This window comes from Homo sapiens, chromosome 17 (genome assembly GCF_000001405.40).
Source record: "Homo sapiens chromosome 17, GRCh38.p14 Primary Assembly".
NCBI classification, from domain to species: domain Eukaryota; kingdom Metazoa; phylum Chordata; class Mammalia; order Primates; family Hominidae; genus Homo; species Homo sapiens.
This window is the reverse complement of record NC_000017.11, coordinates 40413371-40440816: the sequence shown is the minus strand read 5'-3', so window position 1 is coordinate 40440816 and position 27446 is coordinate 40413371. Positions and strand designations below refer to the sequence as shown.

The 27446-nt window shown below is 48.1% G+C and overlaps 1 protein-coding gene and 1 pseudogene across 3 annotated transcripts in view, besides 3 other annotated features; both read left to right on the top strand.

The window, feature by feature from the left end:
- RPL23AP75 (ribosomal protein L23a pseudogene 75) lies at positions 875–1399 on the top strand (annotated as a pseudogene).
- Positions 20715–21257: an enhancer, noted in NCBI's record as "H3K27ac-H3K4me1 hESC enhancer chr17:38575812-38576354 (GRCh37/hg19 assembly coordinates)". NCBI's record gives its function as "activates a minimal SCP1, AML or CMV promoter by ChIP-STARR-seq in primed H9 embryonic stem cells {active_cell/tissue: H9 hESC(primed)}" and the evidence as "EXISTENCE:reporter gene assay evidence [ECO:0000049][PMID:30033119]".
- Positions 22737–23262: an enhancer, noted in NCBI's record as "NANOG-H3K27ac-H3K4me1 hESC enhancer chr17:38573807-38574332 (GRCh37/hg19 assembly coordinates)". NCBI's record gives its function as "activates a minimal SCP1, AML or CMV promoter by ChIP-STARR-seq in naive H9 embryonic stem cells {active_cell/tissue: H9 hESC(naive)}" and the evidence as "EXISTENCE:reporter gene assay evidence [ECO:0000049][PMID:30033119]".
- TOP2A (DNA topoisomerase II alpha) overlaps positions 22921–27446 on the top strand; it is a 29372-nt gene continuing 24846 nt past the window's right edge. For 2 of the 3 annotated variants that reach the window (NM_001067.4, XM_011525165.3), the window contains exons 1-5: positions 22921–23046; positions 23922–24077; positions 24305–24395; positions 24749–24812; positions 27192–27337. In NM_001067.4, coding sequence (NP_001058.2) covers positions 23026–23046; positions 23922–24077; positions 24305–24395; positions 24749–24812; positions 27192–27337 — 478 coding nt within the window. In that variant the 5' untranslated portion in view covers positions 22921–23025. Of the gene's footprint in view, positions 23047–23132; positions 23234–23921; positions 24078–24304; positions 24396–24748; positions 24813–27191; positions 27338–27446 lie in introns of those variants that run through there. The other variant, XM_005257632.2, reaches the window with a different exon arrangement.
- Positions 22926–23015: an enhancer, noted in NCBI's record as "active region_12145". NCBI's record gives its function as "activates an Ori minimal core promoter by ATAC-STARR-seq in GM12878 lymphoblastoid cells {active_cell/tissue: GM12878}" and the evidence as "EXISTENCE:reporter gene assay evidence [ECO:0000049][PMID:35858748]".

Sequence of the window (27446 nt, the reverse complement as noted above, 5' to 3'; positions counted from 1 at the left end):
GGCACGTGCCTGTAGTCCCAGCTACTCAGGAGGCTGAGGCAGGAGAATCGCTTGAACCCAGGAGATGGAGGTTGTAGTGAGCCGAGATCACACCACTGCACTCCAGCCTAGGCAACAGAGCAGGATTCAGTCTCAAAAAAAGAAAAAAAGAAAAGAAAACGTTCCCCACCCCATCTCCTTCCTTGATCATCACTGGACCCTGTTCTGCCACCAACTTGCGTGAACTTGGAGTTTGACTGACCTTAGCTGTAACATGGAGGTAGATCATCTCCACCCATCCTACCTCTTGAAGCTCTTGTGAGAGTAAAATGAATGGAGAAGAGTAGTTCTGCTCCCAATGCCAGACATGTGCCCTGTTCAGCAAGCCCAAGAGGAGAAAAGGTGCCAGGACACAGAGGCAGGAGTGCAGGAGAGGCCGGACAAACCCACGCAACATGCCTGGGATGAAGCATGAGTGCAGGTGAGTGTGGGAATCTGCAAAGGTTGCCAGATGAGACAGATTCCCACACCTCAACGCCAGCCCCTCAGTCCATCCTCTGGTGTCCCTCCACCCCTCATCATTGGGTTAATTCCAAGGAGGCAGGAAGATGCACAGGAAAGAGGCCTTCCAAGCACCTCCTACCATTCATGTAACACAGATTTACTGAACGCCTAATATGCACAGGCTTTATGCTACATACCAGGGATGCAGAGATGACCAAGATCACCCCCTGCCCTCAAGGAGCTCACTGCCTAATGAGGGACGATAGTATGTAAATAAAATAAATCTGAGAAGTGTGCAGGTGCCCTGGGAGATGTTCATATGGGGCACAATGGGGATCCAGAGCCACAGGTGGTCAGTTTTACATTCAGGGCATACAGGCTGAAAGTCTTCATTAGAGATGATCCTTTTTCACAAGACGGTGCTGAAGGCAAAGAAAGAATCTCCTGCCCCTCTTAAAGCCGAACTCAAGAAGGCAGTGTTGAAAGGTGTCCACAGCCACAAAAAGAAAGAAGATCCACAGGTCACCCACCTTCCGGCGGCCCAAGACACTGCGACTCCGGAGGCAGCCCAAATATCCTCAGAAGAGCGCCCCCAGGAGAAACAAGCTTGACCACTATGCTATCACTAAGTTTCCACTGACCACTGAGTCTGCCATGAAGAAGATAGAAGACAACAACACACTTGTGTTCATTGTGAATGTTAAAGCCAACAAGCACTAGATCAAACAGGCTGTGAAGAAGCTCTATGACATTGATGTGGCCAAGGTCAACACCCCGATTCAGCCTGATGGAGAGAAGAAGGCATATGTTGGACTGGCTCCTGATTACGATGCTTTGGATGTTGCCAACAAAATTGGGATCGTCTAAACTGAGTCCAGCTGTCCAATTCTAAATATATGTATATCTTTTCACCATAAAAAATAAAAAGAGAGAGATGATCCTTGAGCCAATGGCCTTCCATGCTACAAGAATCAGCACAGTGTGAGTGTCACAATGACCTGGATTCTGACCCCAGCCGTGTCACTGGGCTCACTAGGAAACCTAAAACAAGTTACTTGAGCTCTCTGAGCTTCAGGCCTTATCTGGAAAATGGGACTTTGCAGCAAGAAAGAGAGAGAGACCTATCCAAATTGCCTGGCACATAGTAAGCACCAAGTGTTTGCTCCCTCCTACCCCTCTCCTGCTGGGAACTGTAACTTCTCCACATGGCTGAGACCCCCTGGTGGCAAGACCTGTGTCTCCCCCACTGAACTAGAGGCTCTCAGAAGACTGGGTTTAGTGTCCCCCTTCAGCCTGCAAGTGTCGTGTCTGGGAGAGGCTGTATAAAGAGCATGGGGCCAGGCATGGTGGCTCGCGTCTGTAATCCCAGCACTTTGGGAGGCCAAGGCAGGTGGATCGCTTGAGCGCAGGAGTTCAAGACCAGCCTGGGCAACCTGGCAAAACATTGTCTCTGCAAAAAAAAAATACAAAAACTAGTCAGGCATGGTGGCATGCACCTGTGATCCTAGCTGCTTGGGAGGCTGAGGTAGCAGAATCACTTGAGCCCAGGAAGTCGAGGTTGCAGTCAGCCAAGATAGCTCACTGCACTCCAGCTTGGGCAACAGAGTGAAACCCTGTCTCAAAAAAAAAAAAAAAAAAAAAAATTAGCCAGCTATGGTAGCATGAGCCTATAGTCCTAGCTATTCAGGAGGCTGAAGCAGGAGGGTCCCTTGAGCCCAAGGGTTCAAGGCTGCAGTGAACTATGAGTGCCACTGCACTCCAGCCTGGGTAACAGAGACAGACCTGGTCTCTTAAAAATAAAAAATAAAATTGTTTCTAAAAAGAGCAGGACGGACGCGGTGGCTCACGCCTGTAATCCCAGCACTTTGGGAGGCCGAGGCAGGTGGATCACCTGAGGTCAGGAATTCAAGACCAGACTGACCAACATGGTGAAACCCTGTCTCTCCTAAAAACACAAAAAGTTAGCCGGGCATGGTGGCGTGTGCCTGTAATCCCAGCTACTGGGGAGGCTGAGGCAGGAGAATCACTTGAACCTGGGAGGGGGAGATTGCGGTGAGCCAAGATGGCACCATTGCACTCCAGCCTGGGCTACAGGAGTGAAACTCTGTCTCAAAAAAAAAAAAAAGTTAACACAGTAGTCACAGACTACATGCAGGATAGGGATCTAAGTGCTTCACTCATGAGCACTTCACAGCAACCTCGTGAACTAGGCACTATCACCATCCCGTTTTTAAGACAAGGAAACAGAGGCATGGAGAGGTTTGTAACTTACTCAGAGTCACACAGCAAGTAAGTGGAAGAACAGGGATGTGAACCCAAGCAGTCTGGCTCCAGAGTCTGTACTATTAGCCCCTATGCTTTACTGCCTTTCAAAACAGCTGTCAGAGCACTCTAATGCCAACAAGGGCAAAAGAGTCTGACACAGAGTACAAGCTGGGTGGGGAGATCAGGGCAGAGGTGGCATTGGTAGGGGACTGGGCCCCAGGCCTCCTCATAACTTTGGCCTCCCAGCCCCTTTCCTGATTGCCCTGGAATGTCCACTGTGCCCACACTGAGTAGAGGATCTTAGCTCCCCTCCATGTCAGCTGACATCCAGGTCCCAGACAGGGCACCCCCACAGTCACCGCAGATGTGGGCTGAGCAATGGTGTATCAGTACAGCTGCCTTCCTGCCCACCAGGGCCCCATACTTGGAGAGACCAGATCAAGAGAGCCAGGATCTCCATAGAGACAACACAGTGCAGAGGGAGGCCTGGTCCAGCCCAGTCCCAGACTATGGAGCCTGGGTCCTTCCCTGGGAACACATGGTTCCAGAGGTGAACACCCAGGCAAGAGAGGGGGAGGGGAGAGGAAAGCCATCCACAGTTGGGCTGGCCAGGATCCAGTTTCATATCTCCAGGCCATCCTGCTTAGCTGCTCACCAGCTTTGTGACCACTTCCTGTTCCTTAGCTTCAGTTTGGCCATCTGTAAAATGGGGGAAGGCAACTTGTTGAATTGTGAAGGCCCTTCCAGCTCTGGCAATCTAGGAATCTAGGACCTCCGGATTCCTTTTGCATGGTCCAAGGCCCCATGCTGGCATGGCTTCCAACACTCCAGAGCCTGCAACGCTTCCAGGCCAATTGGCACCAACAGGAGCGCTTTCTCATTGTCCAAAGCTTAAGCAGGAGACAAGCCAAGTGAATGATGTTGGGCCCTGTGAGAGTTCTGTCACCACCCCGAGAAGTGATGAGGCTAACCCAAGAGTATACAGCTAGCAAGTAATTGAGCCAAGACTTGTGCCAAATACATTTATTGCCTGCTACAATCTTAGCCTTCTTTGACCGTGAGCTTTGGGCTCAGAACTCGAGAAAGATGGGGGTAGGAGCAGAAGAAGAAAGTGCAACCTGGGAAAATCTTGCAGAGGACACTTGCAGAAACGACGACACACAGGGCACTTTGAGCAGAGAGAGCCAGAGGTTGGGCTGGGAAGTCGTTTGCCCTGCTTCCCCTAATGCTTGTTGAGTCAGAGGGCAGGTGGCCTGACAGATCAGAGGCCCAGAATCAGAGCAGACACCCTGTCCACATTCCCTAGAGGGCCTCCAGGCCCTGAGTCCTGTTTCCCCAACCCTGAGGAAAAAAGTGCCACCTTCCCCTTAGGAAATCCTAAAGAGACCAAGGGACCTCTGAACCCAGGGAGTCCTCCAAAAGGGCTTTAGGCTTAGAGACGCCCCCACAGAGGGGGCATAAGACTTTAGACTCGTAAGCCCCCAGAGTTTGCTGGACCTTCAGAGTGATCTCCAACACCCATGCGCACAGGGCCCTTACTCCCCAGCTGCATGCCTCCCCCTTTCCCCACCAGCAGTAGGAGCTTACAGATAGCACCAGTCATGCCTTCTGCATATGCCCAGACTCTCTTCTGGCCCCATCATTCCATAGCCAGAGCCAGGATCCTTCATGCCAGCGTCTATGCCTCATCCTTTCTCTCCTCCTTACCCCTGCCCACTTCATCCCAACCTTCCTCTTCTCCCTTCCCAAAAGAACATCCTGGCCTGAGGGGCCTCTCAAGATTGGTAGTGACCAGACATCCCAATCCCACTTGGAAAAGTAGGGAAGGGCCTCCAGGAAAGGTGAGGGGACTGCAAGAGAGGAAAGGGAGTAACGGCGTGCCTCCATTTCCTCATCTGTGAAATACGCAGTGCATGGGATTGTTAGGAGAAACTGTACGGAGTAGGTGGTAAGAGTGCCTGCTTCCAGTTATGCCTCATTTAATACATACACATGGAAAAACATAATGGGAAACCACTCCATACCCACCAGATGGGTAAAAAAATAAAATACTGACAATACCAGAATGTGGAGTAAGGGGATTCTCATATAATGCTTGTAAGAAAACAAATTTGTACAACCACTGAGAAGCAACCAGTAATTCCACCCCTAGATATATACCCAGCAGAAATGTGTGTGTGTGTGTGTTCCAAAACACATGTTCAAGAGTGTCACAGCAGCACTCTTCAGAATAGCCAGAAATGGAACCAACAGTAGAATGGTTAAGTCTCGACTTGAATATGCTGTTGATACATCCATCGATATAGACAAATCATATGTTAGCAAAAGATTACTGCTGTATCACTCTATATAAACTCAAAAACAGGCAAAACTAATGCTACGGTTTGAATGTCTTCTCCAAAACTCATGTCGAAATGTAATCACCGTTGTGACAGTATTAAGAAGTGGGACCTTTAAGAGATGATTAGGTCGTGGGGGCTCTACTCTCATAAATGGATTCATTGTTATCACAGGAGTGGGCTAGTTATCATAGGAGTGGGATCCTGATAAAAGGATGAAGTTTACACCGTAATCTCAGCACTTTGGGAGGCCAAGACAGGAGGATCACTTGAGCTCAAGAGCTTGAGACCATCCTGGGCAACATGGCAAAACCCAGTCCCTACGAAAAATACAAAAATTAGCTGGGTGTGGTGGCGTGCACCTGTAGTCCTAGCTACTCAGGAGGCTGAGGTGGGGGAATCACCACCTGAACCTGAGGAGGTGGAGGCTGTAGTGAGCTGTGATTGCACCACTGCACTCCAGCCTGGGCAACAGAGTAAGGCCCGGTCTCAAAAAAACAAAAACAAAAAAAAAAACGGTGCCAGGCACAGTGGCTCACGCCTGTAATCCCAGCACTTTGGGAGGCTGAGGCAGGTGGATCACCTGAGGTCAGGAGTTCGAGACCAGCCTGGCCAACATGGCAAAACCCCGTCTCTATTAAAAATACAAAAATTAGGCAGGCATGGTGGCACACACCTGTAGTCCCAGCTATTCGGGAGGCTGAAGCGGGAGGATCACTTGAATCCTAGAGATGGAGGTTGCAGTGAGCCGAGATCATGCCACTGCACTCCAGCCTGGGTGACAGAGCAAGACTCCATCTCAAAAAAAAAAAAAAAAAGGATGAGGTTTGGCCTCCTTCTGTGTCTCACACACTTGCTTCTGCCCTTCTGCCTTCCACCATGGGAGGACCCTTGCCAGATCCCAGTGCAGTGCAATGCTCTTGGACTTTGCAGCATCCAAAACCATGTGCCAAATAAACTTTTATTGTTTATAAATTACCCAGTGTGTGGTATTCTGCTATAGCAGCAGAAAACAGACTAAGACAACTAATCTATATTTTTAGAAATCAGGATAAAGTTTACATGTGGGGAGAGGAGTGAAGGTAGCCTTATGGGGTACAGGTAATATTATTTAGTTACAACCTCACTAAGTGAACATTTATTGAGCTAGACATTTCTCATTTCTGCACTTTTCTGTATGCATGTTATACTTCCATTTTTACTGAAAAAAAAAAAAAAAGGCTTTTCCTTTTTATTTTTTTAAAGAGTGCTGACTCTCAAGTCAGCCTGCCTGGGCTGGATTCCTGGCAGCAGAAACCAGGATAAGTTAGCCTGTGCCTCAGTGTCCTCATCCTTCATATTAAATGAACATCATTATAGTGTGGCTATGATGACTAAATGAATGAATCTGCATAAAACACTGAGAATGCTGCCTGCCAAACATTAAGCGCCCAATGAGTGTTAGTTATTAGCCATGACCAGCCAAGTGAATGAGATTAAGAGCCTGGAGCCAAAAGGCCTGCACTGAATCCTGGATTTGCCATTTACTAGCTCTGTGACTTTGGCAAAGTGGCATCCTCCCTCTTATCCTCAAATGCCCTCAGTTGTAAGAGAGATAATGCCAGCCCAGCCTGATAGGGCTGTGCAGAAACCTACTGAGACAATGTGTGTAAAGCACTAAACACAGTGCCTGGCATGGAGTAAGGCTCAATGCCTGTTATTATGATCATTGATTACCATGGTAACCCTATAAACCCATTTTATAGATGGGGCTCCAGGTAGTAAAAACATGGGCTTAAGGTCACATGCAACTCAATGTCATTCAAACTCATTTTTGGGACAACAGAGCCTGTGTTGCATTCACACCCAGCCTCCAACTTGCACCTCCCGCTCCCCACCTCCAGAGGCAGCACAGCCTTGGAGACTTTTCCCCAAACCCAATCAGCACCTTTTCCTCCTGCCCAGTGGGCCCTGCTACCACAGAAGCCCTTGTCTTTCCAACTCCAGTTGTCAGATTCTGTGTGCCCAGAGGGGGTTGTGTCTTCCCTGCTGGCCCAGCTCTAGCGCTAACCTGAGAGTTCTGGTGCCCTCAGTCAGGGTGCATCCCGGGCCCCAGATCTAACCTCAGCTACGCGAAGAAAGGGTCTCAGAGAGAAGCCACAGAGCCCAGCAGGCTTTCCATGCCAGGGGCCTCTTTCACTGCAGTCTCCTTTTGTCTTTGGCCTGAGAGAGGTAAAGATGACTGGTTGATGGCTGGAGAGAACTTGACGGCAGAGGAACAGGGCTGGGTAGGCCCAGCAACAAGGCCTATTACACCTGGAACTCCTAATCCACAGAGCCTCTGTCTCCTCTCCTGAAGCCTGGATTCACTCCCTTGGTCTGCACCATTTTCAGAGACTTGATGTTTGGAGCCAGTAATCTTTGAGATCTGTGTGGGCTGTTCCTTACCCCCACCCAGTCATGATGATCTAAAGAGCAGCAGAAGCTGGGCCCCAAGCCAGGGGAAAGCCAGACAGCCTGAAATGGAAAAGAGCTTTGCTCCCAGCTTGGGATGCACAAACTGTGGGGCAGTCTGCACTGGTCCTGCAGTCCGAGCCAAGGGTTCAGATCTCAGCTCTGTCCTTATTAGCTGTGGGCTTGTCTCTTCACCACTGTGAACCTCAGTTTCCTTATCTGTAAACTGGGGATGCTATTCCCTACTTCACTCTGGCAGGCTGTTAAGGAGGATCAAATGAGGCTGTCTATTAAAATGACAGACTTGTATACCAGAAAGCAGGTTACAAATTGATGGTGTCCTTATTATGACCCTCTTGGGTCTCTTCTGATGCTAAGATTCTATGATGATTTGGAGTGAAAGGATAGAGAGAAGAGGAGGGAGTACTAGCAAGGGAAAAACCAAGAGAGGGAGGGGCTGAAAGAGGGAACAGGACAGAGAGATGGAAAGGCACAGACAGGTGAATAGATGTGATGAAATGAAAAACTTGCAGAGGTGGGAGAGATTTAGAAACAGATATGAAATCAGATATCAGAAAACAGATATGAGTAGGTGGTGGGTGGATGACAGGTGATGGCATTATTTGGGTAGAAGAGTGGTTGAAGGTCCTGTGAATTAAGGGTCTGGGGTAAAGTCTCCCTCTTCATTCATTTGTTCATTCTTCAGAGGAAAGAATGAGGTAGTAGCTGTCAAGCTAGACCAAGTCTCAGAGCCCACATCTATCCATCAGGCTTGCTCCCAGCAGCACCCAAGAGCCCTCTGAGGGCAATGGACTGGAGGATGGGTTTCTGCTGTTCCTCAAGTCAGACCCCTGGGTTCTGAGTCCAAAGTCCGAGGCAGGGGTCAGCTACCTGGAATGCTGGTCCCCTGCCCCCACTCCCCACCCTGACTTCCACTAATGAATGGGAGTTTCATTAGGCTCTTTCAGGCCACACTGACCTGTACTCCTCAGTACCTGGCTCCTACACAGGCAAACAAGTAAGCAGGCATGGGATAGGGGAGGGAGAGAAGGTGTACAGCCTGAAAAGGTGAGATGGTCAGGGAAACAGATGGATGCTGGGTAGAGGCACACAGCACTCCACCCCCTCCTACTCCTCTCTTCTTGGGCCCCACCCTATTGCCTCCCAAGGACCTTATGTGGAATGTCAGAGCTAGGGAGAAAGTGACAGGTTCATGTGACCCTATTCCCCACCACATGAGGAGGCATCACTGGCTTTCTCACCCCATCCCCCAGGTCAGCTTGCCGCCCCGTTGCAGTCATCTATGGTTACACCTCTCTTTGGGCCTTAGTTTTCCCATTTGTACAATGGGGAGGTGGGACTTAGTAATCTAAAAGCCAGCCTGATTCTAACCTCTCTTCCAAGCCTATCTCATCCTGCTCCCAACTCACCTTCTGGATGTGCCTGCCCTGCTGGGCCCCCTGAATGTCAGATAAGTGCCACCCTGGGTGAGAAATCTCTGGGCCTTTGGGATCCTCTGGGATGGCAGTGGAGGGGAGGTGGGTGAACAAAAGGAAGACTAAGGAGCTGGAGTGAGACAGAAAACCCTCTCCTCCCTGCTTCCATCTCTACTGCATGTCCCATTTGTTCCAGCAGGGAAAGCAGGGGCAGAGGAGTACCCCAGGACAGAATGGGCCTCTGGCTTTCCTGGTGAAAGGGAGCTTTAGGGATCCTAAGATTCCCTGCTCCTTAGGAACTCCCCAGGGGACCCCCAGACCCTCCTCAGAGACCCTAGCCTCCCAGCACCCTCTGTGGCTCCTGATTAGCACTACTTTTGGAAGGAGCAGCTAGACCAGCGGTGAGGGTGGATGGTATGCAGTTGGTAGGAAGTGGGTGGTGAGTTGACGGTAGGCAGACAAATGGGTGGATGGTGAGTGGGTGGGGAGGAGAGTGAATGGTGGATGGGGCTGAATGGATGGTGGGTGGGTAATGAGTAGGGTGGGTGGACGACAGGTGATGGTATTATTTGGGTAGAATTGTGGTTGAAGATCCTGTGAATTAAGGGTCTGGGGTAAAGGTGATGACAGGAGTCTCAAGCTAAGAAACCATATTGTCTCTAACTATAGAGACCATCTCTATATTTACACCCAAGTGCTGGGATAGGACCTGGAACTCAGTAGCCCCACCCCCAGGACCATCTTGGATTTCCCTAAGTGATCTCAGGGCCGTGGGCACTTTCCCGTGTGCACGCTCTACTCCCAGCAGGGTTCCCAGGCTTGGCCCCACTGACTGCCCCTGTAAGAGACCCCTACCTTCGAATACACACCCCTACTTCTGTGGTTCACATCCATGACTCCAGCCTCTTCTTCCAGTTGCAGGGTGGAATTGGGCCTCTGGACCTCCTGGCAGACCAGGATCTCTATGACCACTAGGACCTTAGGTCTACTCTGGCCATGAAGGGCCCCAGGACCACCCTAGATGCCCAGGAGTTTCTGGGCTGCCAGGAACCCTGTGGACACTGGGCCTTTCAGGGTTGCCCAGCCCAGACAAGCTCCTGGGAATCCATGGAGCTCAAGAACCAGTGAAGCCTCTGGGCCAGGGTCTCCTCAAGGACAACCAGGCCAGCCAGGTCTACAGGTGAGAAGAAGCCACCTACCCTGCCAGCCCACTCCTCTGTCCCAAGCCCTCCTGAAACCTCCCTTGACACCCCCCTTGTAACTTATCTTAGGTGACTGCTCACTTATCACTGAGCTTTTTAGCCACCCTTTCTCTAGATATCCGATTGCCACAACTAGAGTATGAGTTAAGAGACATTGATGGCCGGGTGCAGTGCCTCACACCTGTAATCCCACCGCTTTGGGAGGCCAAGGATGGAGGATCACGAGGTCAGGAGATCGAGTTCATCCTGGCTAACATGGTGAAACCCCATCTCTGCTAAAAATATAAAAAACTGTCTGGGCATGGTGGTACGTACCTGCAGTCCCAGGTATTTGGGAGGCTGAGACATGAGAATAGCTTGAACCTGGGAGGCAAAGGTTGCAGTGAGCCAAGATCGTGCCACTGCACTCCATCCTGGGCAACAGAGCGAGACTCCATCTCAAAAAAAAAAAAAAAGAGAGAGAGAGAATCGACAACTGCGTCTTTCTTTCTTCCCCTTCCCCTTGTTTCTTCAGTCTCTTCCTTCCTTCTCTTTCTTTAGCATCCCCTCCCCCATCCTTCCCTGCATCTTTTCCTACAACAAATGCTGCTTACATGGATGACACCGTGTCCTACACATCCCTGTGTGTTCGGAAACTGACGCCTAATAGATGCTCAGTCATGCCTATTGGCTCACTAACCCTGTACCTCACTCCCCTAGGATCTCCCCCTGGGGGGTTCCCCAGGGGCTGGAGAGCTCATCTTATCCTGTATTCTACCCCCCTTCCCAATACAGGATAGAAGAGAGAGCAAGGCTTGCATAGTGGGAGAGGCTTGGAGGGGCCTCCTGGAGCCTCTAGTCCACCTGGAAAGGTGATCTATGCTCAGGTGGGTCTCCCTGAGAGAACAGAAGAGGCCCGTGTCCTCAGGCCAAGGCTCCCTTTCTTTATGGCTGCCCTTTCCTCTTTCTCTTTTACCTCCTTGTGATGGTTAGTACTGAGTGTCAACTTGATTGGATTGAAAGGTGCAAAGTATTGATCCTGGGTGTGTCTGTGAGGGTATTTCCAAAGGAGATTAACGTTTGAGTCAGTGGGCTGGGAAAGGCAGACCCACCCTTAATCTGGCTGGACACAATCTAATCAGCTGCCAGCACAGCTAGGATAAAAGCAGGCAGAAGAATGTGAAAATACTAGACTGGCTTAGCCTCCCAGCCTACATCTTTCTCCCATGCTGGATGTTTCCTGCACTCGAACATCAGACTCCAAGTTCTTCACCTTTGGGATTCGAACTGGCTTCCTTGCTCCTCAGCTTGCAGATGGACTATTGTGGGACCTTGTGATCATGTGAGTTTAATATTCCTTAATAAACTCATATATATATATATAAACTCATATATATATAAACTCATATATATATACTCATATATATATATATGTATATAATATCCTATTAGTTCTGTCCCTCTAGAGAACCCTGACTAATACACTCCTCTTCCTCCTCAAAACAACATCCTCAAATATTCCTGTCAAATATCACCTCCTACCATTAGGGATTAATTCCCTTGGCTTTGAGGAAGCAGTGTGTACAGTAGAACATCCAATAGACCAGGAATTGTGATCTTACACATGTCAATTTTTTTTTTGAGACGGGGTCTTGCTCTGTCACCCAGGCTGGAGTGCAGTGGTGCGATCTCACCTCACTGCAAGCTCTGCCTCCCGGGTTCATGCCATTCTGCCTCAGCCTCCCAAGTAGCTGGGACTACAGGCGCCCGCCACCATGCCCGGCTAATTTTTTGTATTTTTAGTAGAGACAGGGTTTCACCACATTAGCCAGGATGGTCTCCATCTCCTGACCTCATGATCCACCCGCCTCGGCCTCCCAAAGTGCTGGGATTACAGGCGTGAGCCACGGTGCCCAGCCACACATGTCAATTCCTATATGTCAGTGAAGCCTATGAAAATGTCTTTCTCGGCCGGGCGCGGTGGCTCACGCCTGTAATCCCAGCACTCTGGGAGGCCGAGGTGGGTGGATCATGAGGTCAGGAGATCAAGACCATCCTGGCTAACACGGTGAAACCCCGTCGCTACTAAAAAATACAAAAAATTAGCCAGGTGTGGTGGCGGGTGCCTGTAGTCCCAGCTACTCGGGAGGCTGAGGCAGGAGAATGGTGTGAACCCAGGAGGCAGAGCTTGCAGTGAGCCGAGATCGCACCACTGCACTCCAGCCTGGGCAACAGAGCGACTCCATCTCAAAAAAATAAAAATAAAAGAAGAAGAAAATGTCTTTCTCTTCTCAGAATAAATAATTCCAGATGCCTCCCCTGCCCTCTCTTCTCTCACCTATCTGCTCATAATTTAAGCCATTGGCAATACCCTGCCACTCCCCTCATTGTTTCATCTGCTCCACTTCTCTCAAAGTTCTCTGGCAGAAGTGGATGCTCTCCCTCCTCCCTACTGCCTCTAATGCCACCATCATTACCCCTAGCACCTTCTGCCTCCAGGTGTTCCCCCAGTAACAGAAGAAGGAAGGTGTCTACAGAGACACTCTGTGACTGTCCCCTGTGACTGTTTTGCCTCCGCTTCTAGAGGACAGACATAACCTGGTTCCTCAATCAGACCCCTGCTGACATTTTATCCACTTCCCAGCTAGGAGCAGGGTTCATTAGCCCTAGTGGAGAATTCCTCTCCCCTTTTACCTATGAGATGCAGCCCTACTCAAGAGAAGCTTTCTCTGAGACCCTTGCAACTGACCCCTTTTTCCCCTTCTGGGTTTTCTTTCCTGCAGCTTCCTCACTGGGTGTCTTAGTCTGTTTCATGCTGCTATAACAGAATACCTGAGATTAGATAATTTATTTAAAGCATGGATTTATTTCTTACAGTTCTAAAGACTGGGAAGTCCAAGATCAAGGGGCCTGCATCTGGTGAGGGCCTTCATGCTGTGTCATCCCATGGCAGAAGGCAAAAGGACAAGAGAGCAAGAGATCAAACTTGCAGCCTCAGCCTCAAGTCCTTTTATAATTGTCATTAATCCATTCATGAGCACGGAGTTCATGACCTACAAACCTCCCGTTAGGCCCCACCTTCCAACACTGTTGTGTTGGGGATTAACTTTCCACACATGCTTTTTGAGGGACACATTCAAACCGTAGCACTGGGTCTTTGAGTCCAAGGTAGAGATGTTCCTGCATAGCCCCAGTGTCCCCAAGGACAGCCCAGCTGATGCCAGCAATGAGTACTGTACCTTCCACTGAATCCAAAGAGGATGCAGCAAACTGCTGGTACAGTCATCCCTGGCTTCCATAGGGGCATAAGCAGAGGCTTGTGTGGACATTTCCCTTCACTTAGGGGTTTGACAGCCCAGCCACCTGGCCAGAGAGCTGGCTTTCCTGCACAAGGGGTCTGGTAGCTGGGTGTGCTGCCTCCAGGTGGACAATGATAGTGCTAATAATACCATTCACAGAAGGCCTCCAGTGGGTGGGCATTGTACTAGGTGAGGGTACCAAAGAAATAAGTAAATCCCTGACTTTAGAAGAGCTTGTGGTTTGAAGTGGGAGACCTGTGGGTAAACACACAGTGCTGTGTAATAGAGAGAAATGCACAGGAAGCCAAGAAAACAAAGACAAACCAAGGCTGGTTAGAGCAAGCTTCAAAGGAAGGTGATATTGAGCTGGGTGTGTTGGGTGACAGAATCCCAGCTTACTCTGCAGGCTGAGGCAGGAGGATCCTTGAGCCCAGGAGTTTGAGGTGATCTTGAGCAACATAAGAAGACCCCATCTCATAAATAAGTAAATAAATATTTTTTTTTAAAGGAAGTGACATTGGATCTGTGTCTTGAAAGATCAGTAGAAATTCACAATCTTGGGGACACTGCCTAACTCTTGCAAGCCTGAGTTGCCTTAGTTTAAAGGATTGTTGTAAAGATTAGGGAGAAAGTTATGTGCAGTGCTTATAATTGGCATTCAACAAACTATAATCAGCAAAACTATTGTTGGAAATAGAGTGTGTATCAGTCAGGATTCCCATCTTCCTGCTCCTGTAGCTTCTCTCATGATCAGGAAGGAAGACAGAAAACCACATAAGCAGCACTTAACTCCAGGCCTTTGGGAAACACCATTATTTTCTTCAATCCTAAACAGAAGGATCTAACTTTCTATTTTCTTCAGGTGAATAATTTGCTCCTAGCACCACTCCACCCTTTCCAACCTGCCTAGTGTCTCAGATCGTCAGTGAAGGGGACCCTGTAGACATAAACTGGCCCTGATTGCCTTGGAGATAGCAGCAGGGGGGGACAACTGCCGGATAACGTCGGAGGGAAGACGCTCCAGAGACGTACTTTTTTATTCCTCTTCCGAGGTAGAGGATTCCAATGCAGAAGTTCCTCGGTGATGACCTTCCATGTTCCACAGTGACCAAATAAAACATACTGAGGGCGATCATTCAAGTAGCCTGAGGACTATCAAGATACTCAGTCCAGTTCTGCCTCCCTTTCCTGGTGTGAAAAGCTGAGAGAACAGAGAGGCCCAGCCCTGGCCTCTGCTGTCAGATGGGAGGGCTACTTTACCACTTCCATTCTGTGGGCTGCAGAGGAAGGATGTAGGGAGCTGGAGAGTTTAGGGGTGAGGAAGCAGCAAGGGGCTCATTATGTTTGCCCAGGTCTTGCTGATCAAGTCTCCAGCAGGCATAAAACTAAGGCCAAGCTCCAGTTCCAGCAGCTGCCATCGGCAGGCACTGGTGCCAGAGAGGGGCAATTGGGGATGTCTTAGGGAGCTGGCAGAGCCCCAGCCATACCACTAGGCCACGAGATGGGGGAAGGGATGTCACATAAAGAGTGAAAAGGATCCGTGGCCCTCCTCTGCCTCCCCATACACCAGGGTTCAGCCCCGATGGGCTTGAGCTCCTCTGCAGCCCTGGTTGGGCTCTGTGGGGGGGAAAGGAAGACAAAGCTGCAGGCATACCCTGATTTAAACCAACTCAATAAATGAAAAGTCATATTTGGAATTACAGTGTCAGAACTTGAAAAGCCCTTAACAGTAATTTACCCATTAATTTTAAAAATCTAAGCAGTGGAGCCCTGTGTTTAATGAAGTTTTACACAGAACCTAAAATATGAAAAGATGAAAGTGGGACTGTTCTGGATTGGTTAACTGGGCCTCACCTCCTCCAAGTGCTTTCACTATCACCTCTCTCTTTTTTTTTTTTTTTTTTTTTTTTTTTTGAGACGGAGTCTCACTCTGTCACCCAGGCTGGAGTGCAATGGCGCGATCTCGGCTCACTGCAAACTCCGCCTCCCGGGTTTGCACCATTCTCCTGCCTCAGCCTCCCGCATAGCTGGGACTACAGGTGCTCACCACCATGCCCGGCAAATTTTTTTTTTTTTTTTTTTTTGTATTTTTAGTAGAGACAGGGTTTCACTGTGTTAGCCAGGATGGTCTCCATCTCCTGACCTGGTGATCTGCCCGCCTCGGCCTCCCAAAGTGCTGGGATTACAGGCGTGAGCCACCATGCCCGGCCTCACTATCACCTCTCTGAGACTGTGAAGAAGGCATTTTGCAACCCAATCCTCTAGCTGGGGTACCTCAACTTCAGTTTACAGGTGGGGAAACTGAAAACTAGAGAGAGAAGGGGATTTACCCAAGCTCGTGCAACTAGGGACAGCAGAGCTGGTCTGGGACTTCTCACCACAGCACAGTGTCCCTTACTTTGGTCCAAAGATTTAACTTTTCTGCAGAGTTCTTAGCACTGAGTTCCCAAGTCTACTGATAATCTATCTTTATCTATAAAAATTACATTCTTACACAAACGTGTATAGACAGGTATGCCTGCCTTCAATGAGGTGGGGGAAGGTGACAGGGGTGAGAAGGGTGACCTTACTTTTAAATTTTCAAATAGGAGGAAAAATACAAAAAGCAACTCTTGGCTGGGTGCAGTGGCTCACGCCTGTAATCCCAACACCTTGGGAGGCTGAACTGGGAGGACCACTTGAGCCCAGGAGTTGGAGACCAGCCTGGGAAACATAGCAAGACCTCGTCTCTAAAAAAAACATTTTTTTTAATCAGCCAGGCTTGCTGGCACAGGCCTGTAGTCCCAGCTACTTGGGAGGCTGAGACAGGAGAATCGCTTGAGCCCAGGAGTTTGAGGCTGCAATGAGTCATGATGGTGCCACTACACTCCAGCCTGGGCAACAGAGCTGAAACTGTGTCTCAAAAAGAAAGAAGAAAGGAAGTCTTCCTTTCCCTCCACCTCCTTACAATTCCTTCCAGATATTCTCAATCCATATATATATACATATATATATACTCAATCCATATATATACACATATATGTGTATACACATATATGTATATATAATATATACACATATGGGTATACACATATATGTATGTATAATATATATAATTTTATTTACTCAAATGGAATTATGCTCTAGACAGTATTTGCCTCACTTTTTAAAAAACTTAACAGTATATCTTAGAGATACCTCCATATCAGTACACTTAGACCAATGTCCATCTCTTTAATAGCTGCATATCATTTCATTCCATTAGCTTGCTGCCAGTTATTTTCTATTAAAAACAATATTGCAATAAATAGGCCGGGTGCAGTGGCTCACACCTGTAATCCCAGCACTTTGAGAGGCCGAGGCGGGTGGATCACTTGAGGTCAGGAGTTCGAGACAAGCCTGGCCAACATGGTGAAACCTCATCTCTTCTAAAAATACAAAAATTAGCTGGGCGTGGTGTCATGTGCCTGTAGTCCCAGCTACTCAGGAAGCTGAGCCAGGAAAAATCACTTGAACCCAGGAGGCGGAGGTTGCAGTGAGCCGAGATTGCACCACTGCACTCCAGCCTGGGCGACACAGCAAGAATCCGTCTCAAAAAAAAAGAAAAAGAAAAAGAAAAGAAAAAGAAAACCACCAACATTGCAATAATCCTATACATATGTACATACATCTTTGCACAATTCCACAACTGAATTGAATTGATTGAATTCAGTATTCCTAGAATTTAAACTGCTGAGTTACAAGGTGTGTACATTTTAAAATTTTTGATGGATAGGGAACTTCTGTGCAGACTTAGGGATTACTCAACTCTGGTCCTGAACTGCTCCCCTCTGTAACCTCCCTTGCTCTCCTCCCAACTTTGTCCACATTTCTTTGACAGGGGCCACCTAGAGGCTAGGCTGTATGGGACATTTTGGGTTTTCTTGGCCTCCTCCAACCAGAGGCTGGTATCCCTGGTAAAAAAATAAACAAATAAAAATAAATAAATAAATAAACTGACCAGGCTCGCCAGTTGTCAACCTCAAGGTAAACAGAGCTTCTTGGCCCAGCCCTAACCACCTGAGTACTCTGGCGCTGGCTCAGCCTCATCCAGGAATTCCCAGTGGGCTCCAGCCTAGCCAGCTCCAAACCCCAAATCCAGAGCCACACTTTCAGTCCAGCCTCCTTCTGCTGGGAAAGCCTGCAAAAGAGAAGAAATGCTGCTCTTTCTAGGGGACCTTCCAGATCCATGAAGGGGACACTATGCCTCCAGGACCTTCCCTCCCCTTGCCAAAGAGCAGAAAGAACGGAAGCACACAACCCAGGAGAAAACAACCAAAGAATACTTATAAAAGGAACTTATCTGCATATGCAAATATACCTCAAAAGACTTGAGGAGGTTCAATGAAAAAGACTGTCAGAGAAGGCTCCCTGGGTAGGAGAATTTTGAGCTGGTTTTGGAGAAGGAATTGGTGGGACTAGCAGGGAAGGAAGATCCTGGAAAGGAGCAGAGGTAGTCATTGTTAACATGTCTTGAGCACTTATTACTTGCCAGACAATGCACTAAGAATTTGGTGTAAGAATTTTGCAGAGTGGGGCAGGGTGGGTGGATAATGAGGATAGCTCACCCTATGAAGAGCAGGAGGAGGTACTCCCATTATCCCCATTTTAGATTGTTAAAAATTATAGGCCGGGCGCCGTGGCTCACGCCTATAATCCCAGCACTTTGGGAGGCCGAGGCGGGTGGATCACGAGGTCAGGGGTTCGAGAATAGCCTGACCAACATGGTGAAACCCCATCTCTACTAAAAATACAAAAATTAGCTGGGCGTGGTGGTGGACACCTGTAATCCCAGCTACTCAGCAGGCTGAGGCAGGAGAATTGCTTGAACCTGGGAGGTGGAGGTTGCAGTGAGCCAAGATCACACCACTGCACTCCAGCCTGGGCGAAAGAGCGAGACTCCGTCTCAAAAAAAAAAAAAAAAAATTATGGGAGGTTGGCTGGGAGCGGGGGCTCACTCCTGTAATCTCAGTGCTTTGGGAGGCCAAGGCAGGCAGATCACTTGAGGTCAGGAGTTCAAGACCAGCCTGGCCAACATGGCGAAACCCGCCTCTACAAAAATTAGCTGGGTGTGGTGGTGCACGCCAGTAATCTCAGCTGCTGCAGAGGCTGAAGCAGGAGAATTGCTTGAGCTCGGGAGACCGAGGTTGCAGTGAGCCGAGATCGCACCCCTGCACTCCAGCCTGGGCAATAGAGTGAGACTCCGTCTAAAAAAAAAAATTATGGAGGCCATTGTTTTCAACTGAGCTCCTACACTAGGCCCCAAAAGACTAGACCAAACCAAGATGGAGTAATTCGTGCTAAATGCCATGTAATCCAACTGAAACTTTAAAGAAGCAGATAGATTCCAAAACAGACCACTTTTTCCTGAAAACAGGAGAGTCCAATCTACCTAAGTCAGTTTAATAAGGAAGTCCCCTCTGCTTTAACTCCACAAAAAAGTAACCTGAAGTACCTGATGTTAACCAATCAGGTTTTTTCCTATTGCTGTTTCCTGGTTCCCACCTTACAAAACCCACCATTCTGCTATTGCCCAATGGAAGCTTTCATTCTATTTTGTAGAATGGGGGCTGCCCCAATTCATGAATCACAAATAAAAGTCAATTTGATCTACAACTGAACTTGTAAGGGAGACTGAGTGACTTGCCCAAAGTCATATACCCAGCAAATACCCTAGTCAGGGATCTGCCTTAAGTACTCAACCACATATTCAAGTACAGGTTGGGGGAGGGAGGGGGTAATGTCCAGGTAGCTACTTTGGGCCCCTGCAGAGTGGGGGCAGGGTGGGTGGATAATGAGGATGGTATCTTTCCCCTCCCCCCACCACAGCCCCCTGGAACTACCCCCAACCCCTTCTTGCCTCCCAGGACTGGCAGGCACCTGCAGTTCCCTCTTTTTTTTTTTTTTTTTTTTTTTTTTGAGACGGAGTCTCGCTCTGTCGCCCAGGCCGGACTGCGGACTGCAGTGGCGCAATCTCGGCTCACTGCAAGCTCTGCTTCCCGGGTTCACGCCATTCTCCTGCCTCAGCCTCCCGAGTAGCTGGGACTACAGGCGCCTGCCACCGCGCCCGGCTAATTTTTTGTATTTTTAGTAGAGACGGGGTTTCACCTTGTTAGCCAGGGTGGTCTCGATCTCCTGACCTCGTGATCCACCCGCCTCGGCCTCCCAAAGTGCTGGGATTACAGGCGTGAGCCACCGTGCCCGGCCCTGCAGTTCCCTCTTTGTGTGCAATGCCTTCCAGGCCCACCCATCCCAGACCCCCACCACTATTCTTTCTTCAATAGTCCCCACAAGTCCTGCAGGACCCCCTGCAATAGGCTCTGGGAAGAGGGAGGGACTGGCAGAGAAATAGCTTGTACCCAGAAGAGAAGGGGGGTGGGCCAGAGCAAGACCACCTTGTGCTACAGAGCTGGAAAAGGATTGTCCCCGACACTTGCATATCTCATTTTGCCCTCTGTGTCTTTGATAAAGGATAATGGCATGGGGAAACCAAGAGACCCAGGAAGAATTCTAACTTAGGTGTGTGTGGCCCCAAAGTCCTTTTGTGTTTTTTGTTGTTGTTGTTGTTTGTTTTTTTGAGACGGGGTCTTGCTCTGTCGCCCAGGCTGGAGTGCAATGGCACGATCTCGGCTCACTGCAACCTCCGCCTCCTGGATTCAAGCTATTCTCCCACCTCAGCCTCCCGAGCAGCTGGGATTACAGGCACCCGCCATCAGGCATGGCTAATTTTTTTTTTTGTATTTTTGTAGAGATGGGGTTTCACCAAGTTGTCCAGGCTGGTCTCAAACCCCTGAACTCAGGTGATCCACCCACCTCAGCCTCCCAAAGTGCTGGGATTACAGGCGTGAGCCACCACACCCGGTCCCCAAAGTCCTTTTGACTCCACAGTACTTCTTCTGGGTTTTTGGAACAAAGACACACAGGATCCAGCTAAACTGCAGGACAGATTTAAAGCTGGGCCCCTAAAAAATAGGGCTGGAGCTGCTTGTTAAATTCCTGTTGCCTCATTGCCCAGTGGGTCACTGCAGGCTGGGATGAGCTACAGGGTAGAGGCCGGGAGCTGCAGAAACTGAGCTGCCATCCTTGGGGAAGCATGCCCACCATCCCCACTACCTTGGAGGTAGTGCGTTCTAGGAGGTAGAAGCCAGCATGGCTGGTTTCTGTCAGGGCCCTCGGGTGTCCTGCAGAGAGTGGCATGCAGGCCCTGGATCCCAGGGCCTGGTCAGTCTTCTGGCTGAGCAGAGGCTACTGGCCAAGCTTCCCTACCACTGCTCTGAGCCCCTGGTGGTCCTGTGCTCTCTAACACATGTGGTGAGCAGAGCAGAGCTGGGAACACGCAGAGACTGCTGGAGGCCAGGGAGCCAAAGGTCAAGAGAGCAGAACAATGCCGAAGCACCATGCCTATGGTTTCCGAGTGCCCCTAGCCCATGGGCAACTTCCATCCTTGGCTTCCTGCCACATCATACGGCTCCCCATTGGCCCTCCCTTGACACACTGTGGTTATGTAACAATGGTTGACCTCTGGTTTCTTTTAGAAGAAGAAAAAAAAAATTACATCCACAATTGTCACACCAGCCTAAGGAAAATTCCTGCTACCTAATACTGTCAGCCCACTGTTTACCTTACACTTCTCTCATGTAACCCTCACACTACTCTGAGATCATAGTTAATTATTCTTTTTAGGAGAGGAAACGGAAGCACCGAGAGGCTTCCTCCATCGAAATGACACGAATGGCAAATTGCTGAGTTGGGACTGAAACCCAGGTAGAGGAAGGAAGCAATGAATGGAAAGAGGTGGCTCAGCTGGAATTAGTAGGCACTCAAATTGTGCAGTTTTTTTTTTTCTGGCTTCTTGTAAGGGTAATAACTTTGTTTAATCCACTCAAACATTTATATGTAAGAGTAATTTTAAAACTTCAGTCTTCGCCGGGCACAGTGACTCACACCTGTAATCCCAGCACTTTGAGAGGCTGAGGCGGGCAGATCACTTGAGGTCAGAAGTTTGAAACCAACCTGGTCAACATGGCAAAACCCTGTCTCTACTAAAAAAATACAAAAATTAGCCAGGCGTGGTGGCAGGCGCCTGTAATTCTAGCTACACGGGAGGCTGAGGCAGGAGAATCGCTTGAACCCGCGAGGTGAAGGTTGCAGTGAGCCTAGATCGCGCCATTGCACTCCAGCCTGGGCGACAGAGTGAGATTCCATCTCAAAAAAAAAAAAAGCAACAAAAAAACAAGCAAACAAAAAAGCTTCAGTCTTGGCATTTCCTTGTCAAATTGGAACAGCTGTTCTGGACTGCAGGGTTCACGGAGGTGAGCAAAAGTAGCCAGTCGGAGGGTATCTGGCCAGCTGGCTGCGGAAAAGGTTTCAGCCCCGGACGGCTGAGCCCACCCTCAGCTCAAGAGGCTACCACCACAAGTTATCCCTTTCGATTTACCAGTTGCAGTCCAGCGCTGCTCTACTGGGGACCTGAATGCTGCCCTCCATTTTGCAAAGCCTTTCTACATCCTTCCACTATATGGAACCCCCAAACCACAACTGTGGCACTTTTATTTTAATTATTTTTATTATTTATTTATTTATGTATTTATCTCTTGAGGTGGCCTCGCTCTGTCACTCAGGCTGGAGTGCAGTGGAGCAATCACGGTTCAAGGCGCCTCGATCTCCGATCCCCGGGGCTCAAGCGATCCTCCCTCCTCAGCCTCCGGAGCTGGAGTTACAGGTGTGCGATGCCTCGCCTGGCTATTTTTTTTCCTTTTTGGGTAGAGACGGGGTCTCGCTATGTTGCCCAGGCTGGTCTCCAACTCCTAGGCTCCAGCGATCCTCCCGCCTCGGCCTCCCAATGTGCTGCGAATACAGACTCCAGCCACCGCACACAGCCTACTTTTATTTCTTTGAAAAATGAATTCGAGGGTAAAGGGGGCGGGGTTGAGGCAGATGCCAGAATCTGTTCGCTTCAACCAAGCAGCCAGGCTGCCTGTCCAGAAAGCCGGCACTCAGTTTCCTCAGGAAAACGAAGCTAAGGCTCCCATTCCCCTCGCTAACAACGTCAGAACAGAGGACAGTTTTTAGATTTCAGGGATCTTAAATAGATTGGCAGTTCCTGGAGAATAAACATCCTTTGCTTTTCTCCTGCACACTTTTGCCTCAGGCCACCCCTTCCCGCTTCCAAAGCCCATCTCTTCCAAGCTTTCCGCACGAGAAAACAAGTGAGCCCTTCTCATTGGCCAGATTCCCTGTCAATCTCTCCGCTATGACGCCGAGTGGTGCCTTTTGAAGCCTCTCTAGTCCCGCCTCCCTAACCTGATTGGTTTATTCAAACAAACCCCGGCCAACTCAGCCGTTCATAGGTGGATATAAAAGGCAAGCTACGATTGGTTCTTCTGGACGGAGACGGTGAGAGCGAGTCAGGGATTGGCTGGTCTGCTTCGGGCGGGCTAAAGGAAGGTTCAAGTGGAGCTCTCCTAACCGACGCGCGTCTGTGGAGAAGCGGCTTGGTCGGGGGTGGTCTCGTGGGGTCCTGCCTGTTTAGTCGCTTTCAGGGTTCTTGAGCCCCTTCACGACCGTCACCATGGAAGTGTCACCATTGCAGGTACGGCTCGCGGGGGGGACTGGCGGTGGAGCCTCCGCGCGGCCCGGGCATCTCTCTGGCCGCCCGTGACGGGTGAAGCTCTGGGGCTGCGGTCAGGCCGGCGACCGGCTTGGGAGCCCATATTCTCCATTCCCGGTTCCGGGGTGATCGTGGAGAGGCGGAAGCCCCTTCTGGTGCTAGTAGTGAAGTATGACCCGGCTTCCAGGGTGTCGTGCGTTGTTGCCCTGTTTCTAGGGGCAGGAGTCCGTTGGTCCCGTAGTGGATCCATGTTACAGCGGCCCGGGTGCGACGTTATTGAGTCGCGCGTACAGATGCTTTCCCCTCCTGCCCGCTGCTTGAAAACGGTCTTGAATGTCCCCGATCTTGGAAAGGGCAGAGCCTAGCACAGTGTTTCTCTGGAGCAGCTGGCCAGCTTACAAAAGCGCCCCCTTCCTGAGTTCACAACGCTCAGGTGGCCAAGGGATTGAACGGATAGCCGCCCAAACTGCTGCTGCCGAACTAGAATTATTTACGGTGTCGTGTGCTCGGGACACCGTAAATAATTTATAATAATAGGCACTCGGTAAATAATGTATGCAGGAACTGAAAGAAGTGGGTGTATTTTATTGATGACATCTACCATGTTGCTCAAGAAAAGAGGTTTCCAGACAGACCCACTTGGTGAGATAATATGTGTCTGTTTAACCTGACACCTGGGGACCTGGCCGCAGCGAATTTAAATTGTCCTATTTGTACAAAACTGGCAACTCCACCACTGCCTACTAACAGATTGCAATGCATGTTGACATCTCACTATGGTAGGCATTTTGTTCCTAGTTTAGGGTAAACTTATGATTAAAAATTCCCTTCTTTCTCTCTTTTTTTTTAATTGCTAGCCTGTAAATGAAAATATGCAAGTCAACAAAATAAAGAAAAATGAAGATGCTAAGAAAAGACTGTCTGTTGAAAGAATCTATCAAAAGAAAACACAATTGGAACATATTTTGCTCCGCCCAGACACCTACATTGGTTCTGTGGAATTAGTGACCCAGGTAAAATCAAGCTCATCAAAGGCAGTTAACCTAGTAGTTGAAATGGATACTCTTCTTTCTGTACCTTTCATGTACTGAGTGTGACCTTTCTGTATCTCTCATGTACTGAGTGTCACTGGAACTGGCCTAAATATGGTAATACTTAATATGAACACTTTATGGTAATCATGATAACAGAACAATGAATATAGAATAAAAATAACAGTATTTCTTTGCCTTATTTCTAGCAAATGTGGGTTTACGATGAAGATGTTGGCATTAACTATAGGGAAGTCACTTTTGTTCCTGGTTTGTACAAAATCTTTGATGAGATTCTAGGTGAGTAAATCCTTTAATATAAAGATCTGGTCAAATCTTTCATAAGAAGTATCATTCCAAATAAAAATTTAAAAAAGATAAAAGTAAAAACAAAAAGTATCATTTCTACCAAACCTGCTGTAGCCAGGGCTCCTGTCATTTCAATCAGTTGATAAAGGTGAGCTGGTTTCCTGGAGCCCAGGAGGTTGAGCTTCTCGTAGAAACAGTACTATGGACAAAAATTGCTAAATTAACACCTTGTTAATGCCACTCCTGTGCTGTTTGGGAACTTTTTTTTCTATATCTTACTTAGAGTTACAGAATGTTTCTTAAAACACTAATTTCTTACAAATGTATATTTTATTTTCTTTCAGTTAATGCTGCGGACAACAAACAAAGGGACCCAAAAATGTCTTGTATTAGAGTCACAATTGATCCGTACGTCTTTTGCTTAGTTTTTGTTATGTAGCTCGTTGCTATTGTTAGCTGCATGTATTTTGATTACTGGTGAAGTTGGCTTTTCCTAAACAGAAGTTGAGAAAAGTACACAAAAGCAGAATGCTAAAATGAAAAACCTATGGATACCCACCACCTAGATCCAACAGTTGCCAACGTTTTTCCATATTTTCTCCATCTTTTTTTTAATTAGTTAATTTTTTTAGAGGAAGGGGTCTTGCTATTTTGCCTGGGCTGGTCTTAGAACTCCTGGCCTGAAGCAATCCTCCAGTGTTGGCATTATGGGTGTGTGCCATGGCACGCGGCCTATTTGCTCTGGATCATTTCAAAATAAATTACAGGACTTATGACACCTAATCCCTAAATATTTGAGCAAGCACCTTCAGTAATTGCTTTAAGTATTCTGGCATCTGGAGTTTTAACTTTTTCTCATGATGCTATTCAAACAGTAAACCAGTAGGTGGTGGTAGAGAATAATTTGATCTGACATTTCTGCTTATAAATGCGGGGTGTCCCTTAGTGGGTGATCAGGGTGCTTATTTCACTTTTTTGTTAGTCTGATTGATTATGACAAAGTATACCTGGATTTTCCTAAGGACTCAATATCATAGTCTTTAAAAAATGTTGAGCTAGGGCCAGGCACGGTGGCTCATGCCTGTGATCCCAGCACTTTGGGAGGCCGATGCGGGCGGATCACAAGGTCAGGAGATCAAGACCATCCTGGCTAACACGGTGAAACCCTGTCTCCACTAAAAATACAAAAAATTAGCCGGGTGTAGTGGTGGGCGCCTGTAGTCCCAGCTACTCGAGAGGCTGAGGCAGGAGAATGGCATGAACCCGGGAGGTGGAGCTTGCAGTGAGCCGAGATTGCACCACTGCACTCCAGCCTGGGTGACACAGCAAGACTCTGTCTCAAAAAAAAAAAAAAAGTTGAGCTAATTTTAATTAGTTTTTTTTATAGATAATAAGTACTATGTAGAACAAGAACCATAATGTATATCGAGTTATTAACTAAAATATAGTACCATCCAAGAATTAACTTAAAATAACTGAAATAAGTTTTCAGCATTTTATTTGAGAGCAAGGCAGTTTATGATTGATATTGGTTTTCCTTTTTTTTTTTTTTTTTTTTGATGGAGTTTTGCTCTTATTGCCCAGTCTGGAGTGCAGTGGCATGATCTCGGCTCACCGCAACATCCACCTCCTGGGTTCAAGCAATTCTCCTGCCTCAGCCTCCAGAGTAGCTGGGATTACAGGCGCACACCACCACACCTGGCTAATTTTGTATTTTTTTTAGTAGAGATGGGGTTTCTGCATGTTGGTCAGGCTGGTCTCGAACTCCTGACCTCAAGTGATCTGCCTGCCTTAGCCTCCCAAAGTGCTGGGATTGCTGGGATTACAGGCGTGAGCCACTGCGCCCAGCCTGTTTTTATGTACTTTGTTGAGTGGGAACGAGATGTATAGATGATCCTCTTGAAAGGGGTATAATAGGCATGATGACTCACTCCTGTAATCCCAGCACTTTGGGAGGCCAAGGTGGGAGGATCAGTTGAGCCCAGGAGTAGTTTGAGACCAGCCTGGGCCATATAGTGAGACCCTCATCTCTACAAAAAATTTAAAAATTAGCCAGGTGTGGTGATGGACACCTGTAGTCCCAGCTATTCAGGAGGCTGAAGTGGGAGGATTGCTTGAGCCCAGGAGGTCAAGACTGCAGTAAGCTGTGATCCTGCCATTACACTGCAGCCTGGGTGACAGAGCGAGATGCTGTCTCAAAAAAGGAGTGGGAGTGGTGTATAATAATGTTTCCAGATTGTCCTTTTCTTTCCATTGGGCATAAATCATTTCCCTCTGTTTATCCTAACATTTTAAAATTTTGTATTTTTTCAACATTATCAGTGTCTATTCAGGTGTTGGAAAAGGTTTTTTTTTCCTCTTGACTCCTATTTCAGGAATGTCAGGAACTAAGCATGGTGGGAAATGTTCCTGCTGAATTTCAGAAGGTATATATGAAAAGTGCCAAAAAAATTGAGGGCTGGGTATGGTGGCTCACATCTATAACCCCAACACTTTGAGCAGTTCTCCTGCTTCAGCCTCCCAAGTAGCTGGAATCACAGGCATGCGCTACCATGCCTGGCTAATTTTTTTTATTTTTAGTAGAGACGGTTTCAACATGTTGGCCAGAACTCCTGGCCTCAAGTGATCTGCCCTCCTCAGCCTCCCAAAGTGCTGGGATTACAGGCACAGGCCACCGCGCCCAGCCTGAATATACATATTTTAGAAATAATAGTATTTAAATATTTTTAAATGTTAAGCATTCGTTTAATGTGTTGTAAAATACAATTTTCAATCTTTTTTTCTTAGGGAAAACAATTTAATTAGTATATGGAATAATGGAAAAGGTATTCCTGTTGTTGAACACAAAGTTGAAAAGATGTATGTCCCAGCTCTCATATTTGGACAGCTCCTAACTTCTAGTAACTATGATGATGATGAAAAGAAAGTGACAGGTAGAGTATTGAGGGGAAATAACATATTTGTTGCTAAAAATATATATATTTAAATGACTGTCTGTGGCATGAGGGTTAAAGATATGGAAATAAATCTCTATAATTGAAT